We start from the raw sequence: 18,469 nt of genomic DNA, 5'->3' as shown, positions 1-18,469 counted from the left end.
ATAAATAAGTGATACGCTATGTGTGCGAAAGCCAGAAGCCATAAGAGTACAACTAATTCTCCATTGAAAAATTAACCGTACCATCCTGAATGCATCTGATCTTGGAAACTAAGCCTGGTTAGGGCTTGTATGGGAGACTGCCTGGAAATACCAGGTGCCTGGAAATACCAGGCTTATGTTTATCTTAAAAAAAAAAAATTAACAAAATCATAAGACAACAAACCGGGAAAAATACCATATATTTGCAACTCATTTTATAGACAAGGGGTTGATTTACTTATTGCACAAATAGTTCCTAAGACAAAGATGCCCAGCTTATCTGAATAAGCAAAGGATATCAATGGACAGTTTATAGAAAAGAAAATGGCCTTTAAATGTATGGCTGGGCGCGGTGGCTCATGCCTGTAATCCCAGCACTTTCGGAGGCCGAGGCAGGCGGATCACTTGAGGTCAGAAGTTTGAGACCAGCCTGGCCAACATGGTGAAACTCTGTCTGTACTGAATATACAAACATTAGGTGGGCATGGTGGCACATGCCTGTAATTCCAGCTACTCAGGAGGCTGAGGCAGGAGAATTGCTCATGAGTCCAGGAGATGGAGGTTGCAGTGAGCCGAGATCCCATCACTACACTCCAGCCTGGGTGACAGAGTGAGACTCCATCTAAAACAAAAAAAAACAAAACAAACAAAAAAAAAAAACAAAAGATGAAAAGTGCTCAACTTGACTCACAAAAGAACTGCATATTAAAATTACAGCAAGATACCAATGTAAAAAATAATACATTGGGGAACCAGGTGCTTTCATACGTTGCTGGTAGGAGTGTAAATCAGCAACTTCAATAAGAAAGTTTGGCAGTAGCTATCAAAGTTTAGACTGCACATCTTTTTTGACCCAGAAATTTTGCTTTTAGGAATTTACCTTACAGACGCGTTCACACATGTGCAAAATGCCATCTGCCAAAGGCTCTTCATTGTGGCATTGTTGGAATAGTAAAATATGGGAAACAACCTAAAGGTCCACTCATAGGGGACTGTTCATTACGTATGCTTCATTCCCACAGTGAAATACTCTGCATCAATCAAAAGAGTGAGGCAGCTCTGTGCGTACCAGTGTGGAATGATCTCCAAGATGTACTGTCCAGTGAGAAAACAGGGTGATGCAAAGTGCATATGTTACCATTTATAGGAGAAAGTATATGCCTATTCTTTTTTTTTTTTTTTTTTTTTTTTTTTTGAGACAGGATCTCAGTCTGTTATCTAGGCTGGAGGGCAATGGTGCAATCTTGGCTCACTGCAACCTCTACCTCCTGTGCTCCAATGATCCTCCCGCCTCAGCCTCCTGAGCAGCTGGGACCACAGGCATGTGCCACCACACCCAGCTAATGTTTTGTATTTTTTGTAGAGACAGGGTTTCATTATGTTGACCGGGCTTGTCTCGAACACCTGGGCTCAAAGCGATCCACTTCCAAAGTTCTGGGATTACAGGCGTGAGCCACGACACCTGGCCACCTATTTCTGTGTGTTAAATATCCCTGGAAAGATGTACAAGAAACATCTTTCTTGTTTCTTTGGGAACAGGCCAGGTGCAGTGGCTCATGGTTTGTAATTCCAGCACTTTGGGAGGCTGAGTCAGGAGCATTGCTTGAGCCCAGGAGTTTGAGACAAGCCTGGGCAACATAGCGAGACCCTGTCTCTACAAAAAAAAATTTTTTTTTAATTACCCAGGCGTAGTGGTGTACACCTGTAGTCCCAGTTACTTGGGAAACTGAAGTAGGAAGATTGCTTGAGCCTGGGAGGCTGGGGCTGCAGTGAACTGTGATTGTGCCACTGCACTCCAGCCTGGGCAACAGAGTGAGTGAGACCCTGTCTCTAACAAAAAAAAAAAAAAAAAAAGAAAAAGAAAAAAGAAGAAACTGGGGACAGTGGCTGCCTCTGGGGAGAAGACCTGGTGAACTGGGACAGAGTAAGAGAGACACAATTTTCACCCTTTGGGAATTTGCATCTTGTGCATTTATTATCTACCCTCAAAATAAAGAAAACATTCATTTAAAAATAGCACTTGGCCAGGCGCGGTGGCTCACGCCTGTAATCCCAGCACTTTGGGAGGCTGAGGCGGGTGGATCACCTGAGCTTAGGAGTTCGAGACCAGCCTGGCCAACATGGTAAAGCCCCGTCTCTACTAAAAATACAAAAAAATTAGCCAGGCTTGGTGGCAGGTGCCCATAATCCAAACTACTCAGGAGGCTGAGGCAGGAAATTGCTTGAACCCAGGGGGTGGAGGTTGCAGTGAGCCAAGATCACGCCACTTTACTCCAGCCTGGGCGACAGAGCGAGACTCTGTCTCAAAAGAAAACAAAAGACAAACAAACAAAAAAACTCCGTCTCAAAAATAAATAAATAAAATAAAATAAATAAAAATAGCATTTGGCCAGGTTTGGTGGCTGATTCCTGTAATCCCAGCACTTTGGGAGGCTAAAGCTGGAGGACTGCTTGAGGTCAGGAGTTCAAGACCAGCATGGGCAATATAGGGAGGCTCCCCCACCCTGTCTTTACAGAAAAATTTAAAAGTTAGCTGGTTGTGGTGGCTGAGTCCCGGAAGGCGGAGGCCGGAGTATCACTTCAGCCCAGGAGTTCAAGGTTACAGTAAGCTATGATTGCACCCCTGCACTCCAGCCTGGGCAACAGAGTAAGACTCTGTCTCAATAATAATAATAGTAATAGTCTCTAAAACACTTCTTTTCTTGCTGTCATTTTGAATCCTTGCACACTAAATATCAATTCCCCTGCCTTAGCTGTGGCCTTGCCCCTTCATCGCTCAGGTGTCTCCCAGGCTGCGCTTCTACGCTGATGACTCTGGAGTGAGCAGCTCCAGCCCCCATCACCCAGCTTCAGAGCCATAAGCCGCCTCTCTCCTGCCTCCTCCACCTGAGCATCCTCAGGTATCTGGAACTCAACACCTGCCAAACCCAATTCATCCACCTTCTCCCCAATACCTCACCTGACACCTGCGCTCCTCCCACATATCCATCAAAGGGACAGCCACCCCAAGCCAATACCTAGAAGTCACCCCTCACTCATGTATTTCACCCCTCCCACTCCACAGGCTTGTATTGTGGTTGAGAGCTTGGGTCTGGAGCCAGGGTGCTGGGTGTGAATCCAAGCTCGGCCTCTTGGTAATGGTGTGACTTAAGCAAATGACTTCATCTTTCTTGCCTGCAGCTTCCTGTCTGTAGACTGGGGAGAGCAACATATGCACCCCACAGATACTGAAACATGGAAACGTTAGTGAGTGACCATGTCCAGTGCTCAGGGCAGTGTCTGGAACTAACTAAGAGCTCCCGAAATGCCAGCTACTTATTATGATGACTGGTTTTACCCAATGAAGCCCAGGTCAGGCCTCCTCTGCTTAGCAGATCCCTCTTCCTGTGCCCTCAGCTGGCTCTGTTCCTACCACCCAGTAGCACTTATTGAGCCCCAGCTGTGTGCATTGCTTTGGGGGAGGGGACCCATTAACCTTCCGTGTCCCCTCCTGGCCCTGGTGGACAGGTTTCTCCCATGCCCAATGCCCTTGTTTGTACTTGTGTGTAGGAGGAGCTGGGCTCAGGATTAACAGAGAACACTCACTGGTTAACAGAGGCCGAAGGGCCTGGCCTGGGGACAGAAAAACACCTCTTTTTGTCAATGTTTGATGTGTTTCAGAAATGTTCCCTGGCCTGGGAACACAGATAATGGCCTGAGGGTAAGACACTTATTAATGTGTTACTTAAGAGAGGGAGGTAGCAGGGTGGAGCTGTGGCCGGGATCCAGGTGGCCCAGGGACTTGCTGTGTGATCTTCAGCGGGTGATGTCACCTCTCTGTGAATATCATACCAGTTCCCTCATTTGGGCCCTCATGGGGCAGAATGTATTCAGATCAAATCAGTGGAGAAGAGGTCACTCTGTTGTCCACTGGGCCTCCCAGGCCTAGGAGCAGGTAACTGAACAGCCCTGGAACAGAAGTGAGGCCCCCGGAACCGAGGGGCAGGCCTGGGCCCCTCCGCTTGTCCTAAGCTGGCTTCGGCTTCTGTGTCTCTGACCAACGGCCATCCCAGGGCACCAGGGTTGGTTTCCTTGAATGGATTTGTATTTGTGAAGTACCCATATATGTGTGTTGTGCTGTTGTAAGCACTACATATATCCTCTCAACAAGCCAGGAGGCAGGTGCTATTATTATCCCCATGTTACAGATGAGGAAATGGAGGCGCACAGAAGTTTTTAATAATGTCTTGTTAGTGGTAGAGTGGAGTTTAAACCCACTGGCTCCAGAGCCTGGGCCCCTCACTTCTCTCCCCCATAGCTTCAGTGCCTGATGAATGTCTAGCATGGCCCAGGGCCCATGCAAATGCTGCCTTGTGTGACAATCGCAGTAACCCTCAAGGGTAAGTGTTATACCCATTGTGTGGCTGAAGAAACTGAAGCTTAGGAAGATGATCTAACCTCACCAAGGTCAAACAGCTTGTAAGCGGGGGAGCCAGGATGCAGACGACCTGCAAACCCTGGGGCTGCCGTGACCTCACATGGTCCCATGCACTTCCTCCAGCCAGTCAGCAGGTGACCCAGGCCTGGGTGGCTCATAATATTGGGCGTTTCATACAGGGAACTACACCAAGTATTGAAGAGGTCATTTCTGGATTGAGACTGCCCCTGTCCAGGCTCCTGAGAGTACACACATCAGACCAGTCTCAGAGACCAGTCCGTGTGACCAAAGGCGCTTGCCTGGAACAGTGTGGCCAACGTGGAACAGACCTAGCATGGATGGTCAGGACACCCAGGCCCTGGGAATGGGAGTGGTCCCTGACCGCATCCCCCAGCCCATTCTGACAGCCCGTCCACATGGACACAGACACCTTAACACACTCAAAAAGGACTCTCCTCAGGATGACCTTCACTCCCACCCCCAAACCCTAAGATATACCTGCCAGTCCCCCAGCCTCTGGGGCAGTGGGTGTCATCCTTGGCCGCGTCACCCTCCAAACAAATCTCAGGGCTGGATGGCATTATCATCTCTTCTGGTTCCAGGGTTGACTGGGCTCAGCCAGTGTTTCTCGTTCGGGCTCTTTTGTGCAGTTGTAGCTGTAGTCAGATAGGAGTTGGCCTGGAGTCATCCGAAGACCTCCTCACCCATACATCTGGTCATTGATGCTGGCTGTCAGCTGAGCCCCTGGCTGTGCTGTTGGCCTGAACACCTACACATGACCTCTCAGTGTGTCCTGGACTTCCTCACAGCCTGGAACCTGGGTTTCAACCCTGGGCCAACCCAAGAGACAGAAAAAGTGGGGGCTTTCAGTCTCTTCAGGCCTGAGCCTGTGGAAACAGGACCCTGAGCGTGTAGAGAAAGCAGGGCTCCCATGATGCCTTGAACAAGATACTGCCCCCCTCCCCCGGGGCCCTGATTCTTCATTCATAAAGTGTGAGGAAGATGTACTAGAGCAGGGACTAGCCAACTTTTTCTTCAAAGGGCCAGGGAGTCAATATTTTAACACTGTGGCCCATACTGTCTTTGTTGCTGCTCCTTAACGTCACCATTCTGGTACAAGAGCAGCCACAGCCAATACATAAACAAAGGGTGCAGCCGGCTTCCAATAAAACTTTATGCATGGCCATTAAAATTTGAATTCGCATGTCTTTTATTTATCACAAAATACTCTCTAGATTTTTTTTTTCTGAGCAGGACCCATTCTTAGCATGGGATTCATACGAAAATAGGTGGCCAGATTTGGCTTGTGTGTGTCATTGGTCCCTAAGCCTCTGGACTTGGGCAGAGCTTCTCGCTTTAACTTGAAAAGGAATTACCTGGGGATCTTGTTAAAATGCAGATTCTGATTCAGTGCATTCGGCAGAGGCCAGAGAACCTGCATTTCCTTTGAGTTCCCGGGTGATGCTGCTGCTGGTGGTGCTGCTGCTGGTCCGCAGAGCGCACTTTGAGAATCATCCAGCTCAGCCACTCTCTCAGGTTCAAAGTGTGGCTCTGCACTGAAAGAATGCTCAGTCAGAAGCCTGGACACACTCAAGGGCCTGGAATTTTTTTTTTTCCTTTCCTTTCCTTTTCTTTCCTTTCTTTCTTTTTTCTTTTCTTTTCTTTTTTTTTTTTTTTTTTTTTTTGACAGGGGTCTCACTCTGTCACCCAGGCTGGAGTGCTGTGGTGAAATCTCAGCTCACTGCAACCTCTGCCTCTCAGTCTCAAGGGATCCTCCCACCTCAGCCTCCCAAATAGCTGGGATTACCAGCGCACGCAACCACACCTGGCTAATTTCTGTATTTTTTGTAGAGACGGGGTTTCACCATGTTGGCCAGGCTGGTCTCGAACTCCTGGCCTCAAGTGATCCTGGGCCAGCATTTTCTGTGTAACCTTCATCTCTGTCCCATGTTTTTCCTGCTTTATTTATTTCCTTGTTTTTTGTGTCTCCCGCCAGTCCAGCCTCCCCCAGCTAGAACACAAGCTCCTTGAGAGTCGGGCCTTGTTGCTGGGTTGCCCCACAGTCTGGCACCATGCAGGTGCTCAGTCAATATTCGTTAAATAAACGAATGAGTGATGCAGGCGGTGCCTGGTTGGCCTCCCTTATCGCCCATCCCCACGGGGACTTCGTCATTCTTTCACCACCTAGTGGGCACTTTTGTGTACTGCGAGGTGGGGGAGAAAAATGTCCATGTTTGAGCCTGATCCAGGCCGAAAGTAGAGAGATGTGGGCAGAGAGATGCCCCTTCTGGTGCCCCTGTATCCGTGTTTTTGTCTGCTTGCACAGAGCTCCTCGGAGAGCCTTCCTGGAGAAGGCAGCATTTGAGCTGAGCAATGAAGACAATATGCTTTGGAATGGTAGGAATGCGAGAGGGAGAAAAGGCATTTCTGGCAGAACAAACGGTGAGCAAAGGCCTGGAGGCTGGAGCGCGTCGGCATCGCCAAAGGGAGGAGAAGCAGCAGCAGCTGAGATGGGCAGTGGAAGGTGAGGTTAGATCAGGGTGTAAGGAGGCGGAGAGCGGCCCCAACGGAAGGGAACTTGCGCTGAGAGTGAGTGATCCGTGCCAGGCACTCCACACACAAGAGTTTGTTTAATCCCCACAAAGGCCAGTGAAGTTGATTTTAGGAACCCCAAGTTACAGACGAAGAAACTGAGGCTCAGGTCAGTGGAGGGACTTGCCCACGGTCACACAGCTGGTAAGGAGCAGAACTGGGTTTGAATAGAGATCATCTGACTGACTGTCTCCTCTCTGAGGGGGCCCTGCCTCTGGTCTGTGCTTGGTGAGGGGTGGGGCAGGGCACATGCTGGAAGCCCATTATACAGATATGGAAACTGAAGCCCAGATGGGGCGAACATTTTCCGATGACGCGCAGCAGGCAAGGCGCAGTGTGGCTTTCACCCCGGCCCTGCCTGGGCTTTTGTCTGACTGCTGGAAGCTGATGCTCTCGTACAAGAGACATGAGCAGCTGGCCACAGAGGGTAGCAGAGAGCCCAGTCGGGACCCCTTGGCCAGCCCAGACCCCTGGGAAATGTGCTCAGGCTTCAGCTCCCAGTGAGGTGTGGCCCTGGGGGGCAGGGTAACAGCTCATCAGCAGACCTGGGTTGCCCCCAGACTCAGCCTGCTGCAGCCTTGCACCCCACACAGAAAGCCACTTGCCCCTTTCTCAGCCCCTCAGTCTGCTCTTCTGGGGAGCAGAGGGCCCCAGCCTGGAAGATTCAGAGGGGCAAGAGAGCCACCGCTACTCAGACAGGATCGGGCTTCAAACTATGTGGTGTTCACCCCACAACAAGCCTTCAAGTGGGCACTGTTAGGATTCTCACTTTCAAGTCAAGATAACTGCGGCTCAGAGAGCCTCAAGTCCTTCTGCCTGAAGGACCTGCCCAAGGTCACCACGCTTGAGCTGGACTCAAATCCAGGTGAAGGTAACTGCTGTGGTTTGAACGTCCTCTCCAAAATGCCTGTTGAAATTTAATTGTGGCTGGGCATGGTGGCACATGCCTGTAATCTCAGCTACTCAGGAGGCCGAGGCAGGAGAATCGCTTGAACCCAGGAGGCAGAGGTTGTGGTGAGCCGAAATGGTGCCACTGCACTCCAGGCTGGGTGATAAGAATGAAACTCCATCTCAAAAAATAAAAATAAAATAAAATAAAATTTAATTGCTATTGTGACAGTGTTGAGAAATGGGTCCTTTAGGGGTGATTGGGTCATGAGGTGCTCTGCCCTCATGAAGAGATTAATGCAGTTATTGTAAGAGTGGATTACTTATGGCAGGAGTGAGCTTCTGATAAAAGGATAAGTTTGGCCCCATTTCTCTCTCTGTCTTGTGTGCATGCTGGCCATGTGATGCCTTGTGCCACAGGATGACTCTCTCCAGATGCTGGCACTATTTTTCTAGACTTCCCATCCTCCAGAACCATGAGCCAAATAAAGTTATTTTCTGTATAAGTTACCCAGTCTGCGGTATTCTGTGATAGCAGCGGAAAATAGATTAAGACAGTAACACTGAGGCATGTGACCACAACCCTCATGGCTGCCCTGTCCTGACCTGCCAGCCAACCCCAGTGGCTCCTTCAGCTACATCTGCTTATTCATCCATAGCCTCAAGGCATCATGGTTGCAGGCCTCTGGCTTTGTGCTAATGTGGCCCCCACATACATACCCCACTTCTCCCTCGGACCCTCTCCTTTAACCTTCCCAGCTTCAAGCCTGGGAGCGACACAGGGCAAGGACAGGGTAGGGTCCAAGCCTTTTCATGGTTCCAGTGCCCAACATGGGTCCCCACAGGGTGAACACTCTATAGACATATTCTGTGTAAGTGAGTACATCCCTGTAAATGGGGATACCATTCCCAGTTTTTAAGTAGGAAAGCTGAGAGTTAACAGGGGACAGTGCCCTGCCTGGGTCACCAGCAAGTTCGAGGCAGAGCAGTGCCCTGTCCAGGCTTCTTGCCATCCAGCCTCAGGTTTCCTCCCTGGGGCGATGCAGCCTAACGAAACTCCCTCAGCAGCTGGCATTACCTGAAGTCCTGCCCGTGAATCAGAAAGCTAGCACCCTGGGCTGCTTTTCTGCCAGGCATTGGCCAATCGCGCAGATGCCCAGCTGGCCCCTCTGGCACGCAAACACCCGGAATGTGCATTGGTTAGAGACCGCCAGGAGAAGATGACCGTGGTCAGATTTCTAGGGCTCCCTGGGAGGGAGTGCATTCTTTCTGTTGGGGATTTTTTACCGGAGCAGTTTCCTTAATCCTCCTCAGGGCATAGCTGGGATTTAGTAATGAGTTGTAACAGCCAGAATGGTTGATTCTCTGAGCCAGGACCCAGCTGTTCATTCTTGAACAAGCTGGGCTCCTCTTTTCCAGAGGTCCTGGCTCAGCTACCGCAGGGTGAGGTTGGGAGCAGGAATCCAGAACCAGCGTCACACCACCGCTCACAGGGGCAGAGCCTGTGCCCTCATTGTATAGATGGAGCCACGGAGGCCCAGAGAGGCTGTGAGGTGGGGTGGAGTCAAGAGCCAAGGTGGGCAGAACAACTTTGTGTGCAAAGACTCAACTGTGGGTGGAGCCAAGGGGAGGGGCTACCTCCCAGGACCGAGGCCAGTCTTCGGGCACCAGGAACAGGGCCTGCCAAGGTGTCATGGGACCTCAGTGCAGGACTGGTCCCACTGGGAAGCTTCTCCCCAGGAGACAAGCTCTGCGTTGCATTCTGTTTTATAGGGGTGCAGTCAAGGAGGATCCGTCCAAGCTGAGAAACAGCAGGAGTGACCCCTGGAAGCTGTGTCTTGGGTCGGGTCCCCAGAAGCAGGCTCTCTGCTGAGGATTTGTGAGCAAGTGATTGATTAAGGAAGTGCCCCCAGAATAAACCAGGAAAGGAGTGGGAAGCAGGAGAGGGGAGGGAAGGAAGACCAACAGTGCCATGTCTGGCCAAGTCCAGCAGGCAGGTGCTTCATTGTGATCCCGAGGGCCGCTCTGGAATGCAAGTTACATCTCAGGGTTATTGAAACCCCAGGCAAGGAAGCTGGGCTTCCACACTCCCCACACCCCATGAGTTAGCATCATCCAAGGAGATCTGGGCAGAGTGCAGCTTCCTGGAGGAGGAGGCATGGGCCTTGCTGTGTGACGACCCAGCGGGGTGTGCAGGTTCTGAGGAAAAAGGGTTTGAGCAGAACCTGAGGGAGGAGCTCAGGCATGCTGCTTGAAGGCCAAGGTTGCTCTGGGTAAGGACCAAGGTCCCATCCCTGATTTAGGACAGGCCAAGGAGGAGCAAGGGGATGGAGGCAGGGGATGGCTCCCTGCAGGCCCAGGTGAAGTTCATGCTACCATTTCAGCAAAAGTCCCATAAACCACCTCAGGAAATCCCTCTGTCATCTGCCGCTGTTTGGGGCCAAAAGCTTGAACTGTGATGAATTTTGTGAAAGGGAGAACTGCCTCATTCTGCCAAAGCCGTTCAGAAGTGAGTCACTAGCCCAGAACAGGCCCCACATAGCTGCACCAGCTCAGACTCCATCTAGCTGCACCTGCAGGAGCTAAGGCTCGAGGTGGACATCGGGCCTGGGCCCCAGGGCAGAGTCATGACCAACAGGGGGCAGCCCAGGGAGCTACTCCCCAGCCTTCAGTGGGCCCCACTTCCCTTCCCTCCTCCCCTCCCTGAAGGCCCCTCCCAGACCGCTTGGCCTCCGGCCTTGCCTCCTCCAACCTGATCTCCTGGGGTTGCTCAAGGGTCTCCTCTAAAAAGCAAATCCGGTCTTGTCTTTCCCCTGCCTGCCGCATTCCGTGGCTCCTCACTGCTCTCAGGAGAAAGACCAAAGTCCCTGTGTGCTCCCAAGCCCTCTCCTGATGATGCAGAGGCGTGGCCCATAGGGACTGAGAGCTGCTCACTTCAGGCAGAAGCCAGGCATCCTGGCAGCCCCTGAGAGCCGCCCAGCTGGCCAGAAGGACCTGCTCCCAGGCCTCCCTTTCCCTGTAATTCATATATAGAAAGCATCTAAATCAGGAGCCAACCCTCCACCAGAGGGAGCGGCGCCCTGGAGGTGGAAGTGGAGCTTTTCTTAGTCATTACATTTGGTTTTGTTTTGGGGGAAAAAAACAAAATGAAACAATTAAGGTCTTATTTTCACAATCACCTGTGGAATGAGGAGGCTTCCAGATGGTATTTGGTGAGAGCACCAGGAACCTTGTGGTCCTGTGAGGGCATTCAGGGGTAGGGAGTCTAACTCATCACCCAATCCTCATGGCTCCAACTTTAAACACACCCAGAAGCCTATCTCGTCCCCCAGCCCAGCTCCGTCGCCTGCACCTGGTCCAAGCTGAGGCCCCTCTGCCCCAGCCTCCTGGTTGCCCCACTGTTTCTGCCCTGGGCCTGCTCCAGTCCCTTCTCACGGACAGCCAGAGCCAAGCCTCTGCTCCAGTAAGGGATCTCTCCAAAGGCTCCTGTCTCCCTCCGGGTAAGGCCAGGGTCCTAATCACGGCCCACAGAGGCCGACACCACCGCCTCTGACCTCCCTCCCTCTGTCTCCAGCTTTCCTGGGATCCCGCCTGGGATCCCCTCTGCCCAGCACTCAGACCTCCTGCACCAGCTGTTCCCCTGCCTGGAACATTCTCCACTCCCCCCAGGTCCACAGGGTCTGAGCCTCATGTCCTACAGATGTCACTCAAAGGGTGGCCCTTCACTGGCTTCCCTGATGGCACCACTTCCTGCCCACTGGTCCTTCTCCCCCTCCCTCACTCTGCCTCATCTAGCCCTGGACACTCCACCAATCTGATACATCTTTATTTCTCTGTTTATTGTCTAGTTTCCCTCCATGCCCACCAGGATGTAAGCTCTGAGAGCAGGGGCTTTGTTTCATTCGCTGCCATAATTCCAGTACCAAGAACAATGCCTGGCACCTCCTAGTAGGTGCTCAATAAATATTTATTGAATGAATGAATGATTGAATTATGTCTGTCATTGACAGAGGGAAGTCTGGGCAACATAGTGAGACCCCATCTCTACCAAAACTAAATAATTAGCCAGGTGTGGTGGTGCATGCCTGTAATCCCAGCTACTCCAGAGGCTGATACAGGAGGATTGCTTGGTCCCAGGAGGTAGAGGCCACAGTGAGCCATGATCACACTGCTGCACTCCAGCCTAGGCAACAGAGAGAGATATAGTCTCAAAAAAAAAAAAAAAAAAAGGAAAAGAAAAAAAGAAAAGAAAATACATAGGGGTGGGCAGATTTCCCCTAAGATGCTCTAAGGATGCCCTCTCTAGGTGCAGGAGTCAGTCTAAAGTTACCTCCTGGGGGAAGTCTTCTGTCCAGTTTTTAAATGGAAGTTCTAGCTGCAGGCAGCAAGTCTCATCACTGAATAGAACCGGTTTTCATTTGGTGCAAACACTATCTCCTCCAGGAAGCCCTCCCAGGACCCTTCCCAGCCCCTAGTGAAAGTGCCTCCCTCCTGCTAGCCTGCCACTTTCTCCCTTGTGGTCCATTCTGGATGTCAGTGCCGGGCCAGTGAGCATCCTAGCGGGCGCCTGAGTCATACCCGGAGTGCACCTGGAGAGCCCCTTTCTGCTCACACTTTACAGGGCCCCATGCTGGCCTCAGACACGCCCATCTTCTCATTTAAGCCTTACAACAACCTTCCGAGGTAGTCATCACCATCCCCATCTTACAGATAAGGAAACTGCGGTCAGAGGCCACAGAGGTGACTTACCCGAGCCCCACACCTGGTGTCACAGTGGAGTGGAGCCTGGCTCCTTGGCCCTGAGTTCAGCCCCCATCACAGCTGCCGAATTCACAGTCAGTGCTCAACACGTGTTCACGTGTTTGGAGGACGAACCAAACCCGAGTTCTCGGGGCTCCCCAGCCAGCATGAAGACCGTGTAACCACAGCACGCATGGGCGGGCCGCTTGGCAATGGCCAGGCTCATGCTCTACTGAGCCCCTGGGGGTCACGACTCCCCTGCTGCTCTGTGCAGAGAAAGAAAAGGCAGTCACCTCTCTCTTCCCTCACTGGAAGGTGAGGCCCAGGGGGTCCGGCCTGTGGGATGTGAAGAAGCCACACATTGGTGCCCATCACCTGGTCCTCAGCCTCTCCTTAGGGCAGAGTCGAGGCCCAGAAGGTTGAAAGAGCTGGAAGCTGGGGAAGAGCCTGCACCAGTGCCTTTGCCTCTTATCAGTCAGTCCGATTTTTGTTCTCTGACTCCCCCTGCTACATACCAGAATGGTGCTCTCTCTCTCCCCCTCTCTGGGATCTGCACCTCAGTTTCCTTGTCTGTAATATGGGGGTAACTGAACCCCCATATTAAAAGGATCCAAGGATAAATGAGATAACACAAGTGCTTGGCATAGGGCCTGGAAGAAAAAAGTAAATTCCTTTTTTTTTTCGCTCTGTCGCCCAGGCTGGAGTGCAGTGGCGTGATCTCAGCTTACTACAACCTCCGCCTCCCAGGTTCAAGCGATTCTCCTGCCTCAGCCTCTTGAGTAGCTGGGATTACAGGTGCGTGCCCGGCTAATTTTTGTATTTTTAGTAGAGACGGGGTTTCACCATGTTAGACCAGGCTGGTCTCGAACTCAGGTGATCCACCTGCTTCAGCCTCCCAAAGTGCTGGGATTACAGGCACTGTAATCCGCGGTGAGCCACCGCGCCCGGCCCAAAAGAAAGTAAATTCTTAATAAGCAGAACATGTAATTATTAGCTAGCACATATATTACTTTGCCTCCTTCTTCCCCACTCTTACAAATGGATCTCAAGGCCTGGAGCTACAAACTTGGTTGTTAGACATCCTATTTGTTTAGAATGAAAAACAAAACAAAATAATAGTGCCCAATGCTGGAGAATGCCATGCAGAAATAGTACAGTGTCAGCCGGGCATGGTGGCTCACGCCTGTAATCCCAGCACTTTGGGAGGCCAAGGTGGGTGGATCACCTGAGGTCAGGAGTTTGAGACCAGCCTGGGCAACATGGCGAAACTCCACCTCTACTAAAAATACAAAAATTAGCCGGGTGTGGTGGCGCATGCCTGTAGTCCCAGTTACTCGGGAGGCTGAGGTGGGAGGATTGCTTGACCCAGGAAGTTGAGGCTGCAGTAGGCTGTAATCATAACACTGCACTCCAGCCTAAGCAACAGAAGAGATCCTGTCTCAAAATATAAAATACATAAAATAAAGCACAGTATAATAGCATTTTATGAGCATTTTAAATATTCAAGGTATTTTATCAAATGTTAAATACTGATAAATTCTCATTTTTGTCTCAGCTCTCCTGACTTTTAAAATGTATACCAAAAAAAAGTCATTTTGAAGCTGTCCAGTTAAGTGAGCTGTAAACTGGATTTACAATATTGCCAAGTAAGGCATTTCCTCAAACTGGCAAACTAATATAAATGTCTCCCCCTGTCTTTTGTCAGGTGTAGTCTTTCCTTCTTCTTTTTTCTTTTTTCTTTTCAGACCTGGTGAGCAGGAAGTACAGGATCGTTTTGAATTCAGCAGATTTTGAATAATGCCAGATCAGGAGTGGATCTCTGGGGTAAGATGCAATGGTCCCACACACTTATATGTCACCAGAGTCCACTCTTTGGGGAACAGCAATTTGACGGAACATGTCAAGAGCTTGTGAAAATAAGTAATTCACATTCGACCTGTTACCCAGAAAAAAACCGGGGTTCATTCACCTGGTGAATCTCAAACGGCTCTCCACGAGAACGCAGGTTTGGATCAGTAGGAGTTTTATGACTCGCCACAGGTAAGAAGAGCCCTGGGAGGATTCTCCAAAGCAGTGTCTCCCTGAGGGAAAGTGACAGGAGGGTTTTATGCAGTGATGGAGGGGACGAGGGGCCCCGCTGCTGCAGACGCAGGGCACCATCATGCCAGCCCACAGGTTGCCTGTGATGGTGATGAAGGTGTAGCTCCTCCTGAGGTGGAGCTCATGGTCAGCATGGTCATGAGGAATGTGTACTCAGGTTCATCTAGAACAGGGGTGTCCAATCTTTTGGCTTCCCTGGGCCACACTAGAAGAAGAATTGTCTTGAGCCACACATAAAATACACTAATACTAACTGTATCTAATGAGCTAAAAAAATCGCAAAAACAAATCTCATCATGTTCAAAGAAGGTTTATGAATTTGTGTTGGGTCACATTCAAAGCCGTCCTGGGCCGCCGGTTGGACAAGCTTGATCTAGAAGTTGCCTGGGTCTGTCAGGAGCTGGTGCCAGCAACTAGGTGACCACATTCAACACAGGGTTTGGGAAAAAACAAGCTGCAAAGCAGGAGGCTGTCAAACAGGCTTATTGTGCCAGTTGACTAAATGCCTATAGTCCCTGGAGACCCTCCCTGTCTGCTTACAAACCTGTTGGAATTTTATTTGGAGCCTTAAAGGAAATGTGACTGTGGGACCTGAGTCACATAACAGGCAGCCACAACCTCTGTTTCTCTGATTATAGATCAACTTTTTCCATACCTACATTCTTTTGTAAAATGTCGTAAAAGACTAAAGGGCACTGGAGGAAAGACCCCTTTTTCCTCATTACTGACTCTCCTTGTAGGTTAACTTCCTTCTTTCCTCTCTTGTACCTGACTCCGACCAGATAGCACAATAGGCTCTGTGACAATCAATTTACTCAAGATAGATGTTGACTATACCTTTCCTGACAAAGAACAAGCTGCAACCAATCAGATTGCTGTAATTCATAGATCAGCCTCGTATGGAAAAGGCTGCTAAACTTTAGTAATCCTGCTAAACTTCTTTGTTTCTACCTATGCAAGTAAAACCTTAACTTCTCCATTTCAGAGCATTGATTCCATTCCTCTGGAGTCTGTGTCTCCCGGACAGTCATCCTTAAACTTTGCACTTGCATTAACTCTTTTTTTTTTTTTTTTTTTTGAGATGGAGTCTTGCTCTGTTGCCCAGGCTGGAATGTAGTTGTGCAATCTCAGCTCACTGCAAACTCCACCTCCCAGGTTCAACCAATTCTCCTGCCTCAGCCTCTTGAATAGCTGGGATTACAGGCGTCGTGCCACCAGGCCTGGTTAGTTTTTGTATTTTTAGTAGAGACAGAGGTTCACCATGTTGGCTGGGCTCGTCTCGAACTCCTGACCTCAGGTGATCCACCATCCCACCCCGCCGCGGCTTCCCAAAGTGTTGGGATTACAGGCATGAGCCACTTTGCCCAGCCGCATGAACTCTTTAGAACAGTATTCTGATCCTTTTGATTATCAGGTTGAAAAGCCATAGAAACAATTTATATGCTTTAACCAATTATTTCCTCTGGGATTTATCCCAGAGAAATAATTTTTTTAAAGCAAACCAAAAATATAAGTGTTGGGGTACAGAAAATGATTCCCCAAAATGTGGCACTTGGGCATGCTGAGTGCTTTTGAAAACTGAAAGGCCTCACAAATAAGCCTCAGCATCAAGGCCTCTCTAACCTTGTCTCGTTCTCTCCCTCTCACCCCTCAAGTCCTTGGAGGGACTCTCTGGAATTTCCTTATCTGACCTAGAAAGTGTCTTGCCAAAAGAAACACATTTGCCTTCTGTCCGTCTGATACCCCATTATCCACTGCAGAAAAGAAGCCGGAAGAAAAGAAGTCAGAAGTCCAACCACAGCTGGATGGACTTTTCCACAACATAATGTCTGCCTCTCAGACTCATTCCATTCACAAGTTGATTTCTGTCTCCCTGATCCATTCATTCTCCTTAATAATCATTTACTGCTCCTCAAAACAATGCTCTATGTTTCCCATCTCCTCGCTCCCCTGGGAAAAAGAGTACATAAGCTTCTGTACCCCATTGGGGGATTGGGGTAATCACACTGTAATTCTCTCCCATGAATGTTAATAAATGTGTATCCTTTTTCTCCTACTAATCTGCCTTTTGTCAGGTGATTTTCAGTGAACCTTCAGAAGGAAAAGGGGAAGTTTTCCCTTCACCCATATGCAGGCATGTAAAGATGTTCATTGCAGTGCTGTTTATAGCAGAGAAAATGGCAAACACAATCAAACAATAGGGGGATAGTTAAGAAAAAAATGCACAGTTGCAGTTAGACTGGTCTCTACCGGCAGGGAGGTTTTTTTTCACCCTTTTTGATTCTCACAGCAGCCCTATGATGTAGACAAAACCGGGTTCACATTTATTCTCCCCATTATTCATGGGGGTGGGGGCCAGGATGCAGACTGAGTTTTGAGAAATTCTGGGCAGAGCTTCCAACAGGGAATCAGATTCTGAACTGGGACAGCTCCCAGGTGTCCTAAAGCGGAATCCAGAGCTGACTCACAGCAGCGTGTGTCTGACAGGGGGATCCAGCGGCAAGTCCCTACTCTTGGATAAAGATGAAACCACCTTTGCGAAAATTATGACAGAGGCCGGGCACGGTGGCTCACACCTGTTATCCCAGCACTTTGGGAGGCCAAGGCAGGCGGATCACCTGAGGTCAGGAGTTTGAGACCAGCCTGGCCAATATGGTGAAACCCCGTCTCTACTAAAAATATGAACAAATTAGCTGGGCAGGTGCCTGTAATCCCAGCTACTTGGGAAGCTGAGGCAGGAGAATCGCTTGAACCTGGGAGGTGGAGGTTGCAGTGAGCCAAGATCGCACCACTGCACTCCAGCCTGGGCAACAAGAGCGAAGCTCCAACTCAAAAAAAAAAACAACAAAAAAATTATGACAGAGAAAGAGATCTGACCTAACCAACTCCATCTTGCCTTTAACCTCCAAGCTGCCCTGTTCATTCCTGGGCATAGGCTGAACTTAGTTTATAGTTTAACTTTGAAACAAAGATGCTAACAGCCCTTTCCCTAAACAAACCCCTTCCTGCCTGAGGACCAGACTGTCTTTGTAAGACTAACAGGTTAGCCATAAGATTTGAAATTATGGTTTAGGAGTCACGCAGCTGGCTACAAGATTCTGAACCTTCCCAGTTCCTCCTAGGGATAACATCGCGATTGTAAAACCTAAGATTGGCACTTGAGGTATTTCTCAGACCCTGCACTGCTGATGCACTCTGATGCACAAACTGGTGCCACCCAGGCCTGTAATCTGGCTCAACCAGTTCTGCGATCCTACCCAGGAACAGAAGACAGCAAGAATCCACTTCAGGCGGATGATTCACGCCTGTAATCCCAACACTTTGGGAGGCCGAGGTGGGCAGATCATTTGAGGTTAGGAGTTCGACACCAGCCTGGCCAACATGGTGAAACCTCATCTTTACTAAAAATACAAAAATTAGCCGGGCATGGTAGCGCATGTCTGTAATCCCAGCTACTTGGGAGGCTGAGGCAGGAGAATTGCTTGAACCCGGGAGGCAGAGGCTGCAGTGTGCCGAGAACGCGCCACCACACTCTAGCCTGGGTGACAGAGGGAGACTCTATCTCCAAAAAAAAAAAAAAAAAAAAAAAAATCGACTTCAACCCCCGTATGATTTCATCTTCAGTCTGACCAATACGCACTCCCCAATCCCTGGTCCCAGACCTGCTGAATCATCCTTAAAAGACCCATTTTT

At 49.8% G+C, this 18,469-nt stretch overlaps 2 long non-coding RNA genes across 3 annotated transcripts, besides 6 other annotated features; one reads left to right on the top strand and one right to left on the bottom strand.

Annotated features, from left to right (window-relative positions):
- LOC105376035 (uncharacterized) lies at positions 2,534-16,601 on the bottom strand. The gene is made up of 4 exons (XR_007061479.1): positions 14,646-16,601; positions 12,686-12,942; positions 5,833-6,012; positions 2,534-5,286 (listed from the first exon to the last, which is right to left on the bottom strand). It is a non-coding gene; the product is annotated as an uncharacterized LOC105376035 (long non-coding RNA).
- Positions 6,736-7,030: a silencer, noted in NCBI's record as "tiled region #8540; K562 Repressive non-DNase unmatched - State 5:Enh". NCBI's record gives its function as "represses a minimal TATA promoter and a strong SV40 promoter by Sharpr-MPRA in K562 cells {active_cell/tissue: K562}" and the evidence as "EXISTENCE:reporter gene assay evidence [ECO:0000049][PMID:27701403]".
- Positions 8,734-9,524: an enhancer, noted in NCBI's record as "H3K27ac-H3K4me1 hESC enhancer chr9:37412515-37413305 (GRCh37/hg19 assembly coordinates)". NCBI's record gives its function as "activates a minimal SCP1, AML or CMV promoter by ChIP-STARR-seq in naive H9 embryonic stem cells {active_cell/tissue: H9 hESC(naive)}" and the evidence as "EXISTENCE:reporter gene assay evidence [ECO:0000049][PMID:30033119]".
- Positions 10,310-10,359: an enhancer, noted in NCBI's record as "active region_28394". NCBI's record gives its function as "activates an Ori minimal core promoter by ATAC-STARR-seq in GM12878 lymphoblastoid cells {active_cell/tissue: GM12878}" and the evidence as "EXISTENCE:reporter gene assay evidence [ECO:0000049][PMID:35858748]".
- Positions 11,107-11,898: an enhancer, noted in NCBI's record as "H3K27ac-H3K4me1 hESC enhancer chr9:37410141-37410932 (GRCh37/hg19 assembly coordinates)". NCBI's record gives its function as "activates a minimal SCP1, AML or CMV promoter by ChIP-STARR-seq in naive H9 embryonic stem cells {active_cell/tissue: H9 hESC(naive)}" and the evidence as "EXISTENCE:reporter gene assay evidence [ECO:0000049][PMID:30033119]".
- Positions 11,280-11,329: an enhancer, noted in NCBI's record as "active region_28393". NCBI's record gives its function as "activates an Ori minimal core promoter by ATAC-STARR-seq in GM12878 lymphoblastoid cells {active_cell/tissue: GM12878}" and the evidence as "EXISTENCE:reporter gene assay evidence [ECO:0000049][PMID:35858748]".
- Positions 12,384-12,803: an enhancer, noted in NCBI's record as "active region_28392". NCBI's record gives its function as "activates an Ori minimal core promoter by ATAC-STARR-seq in GM12878 lymphoblastoid cells {active_cell/tissue: GM12878}" and the evidence as "EXISTENCE:reporter gene assay evidence [ECO:0000049][PMID:35858748]".
- On the top strand, positions 12,964-16,836 carry LOC124902154 (uncharacterized). 2 transcript variants are annotated; one of them, XR_007061481.1, is made up of 4 exons: positions 12,964-13,150; positions 13,374-13,471; positions 14,422-14,500; positions 16,537-16,836. It is a non-coding gene; the product is annotated as an uncharacterized LOC124902154 (long non-coding RNA). The 2 variants fall into 2 exon arrangements; XR_007061480.1 differs by having other exon boundaries at positions 16,432-16,836.
- The last annotated feature ends 1,633 nt before the right edge of the window (positions 16,837-18,469 follow it).

The sequence above is a fragment of the Homo sapiens genome, chromosome 9 (assembly GCF_000001405.40).
Source record: "Homo sapiens chromosome 9, GRCh38.p14 Primary Assembly".
In the NCBI taxonomy this organism is placed as follows: domain Eukaryota; kingdom Metazoa; phylum Chordata; class Mammalia; order Primates; family Hominidae; genus Homo; species Homo sapiens.
The sequence above is the reverse complement of the archived record's forward strand: the minus strand, read 5'-3'. Positions and strand labels throughout refer to the sequence as shown.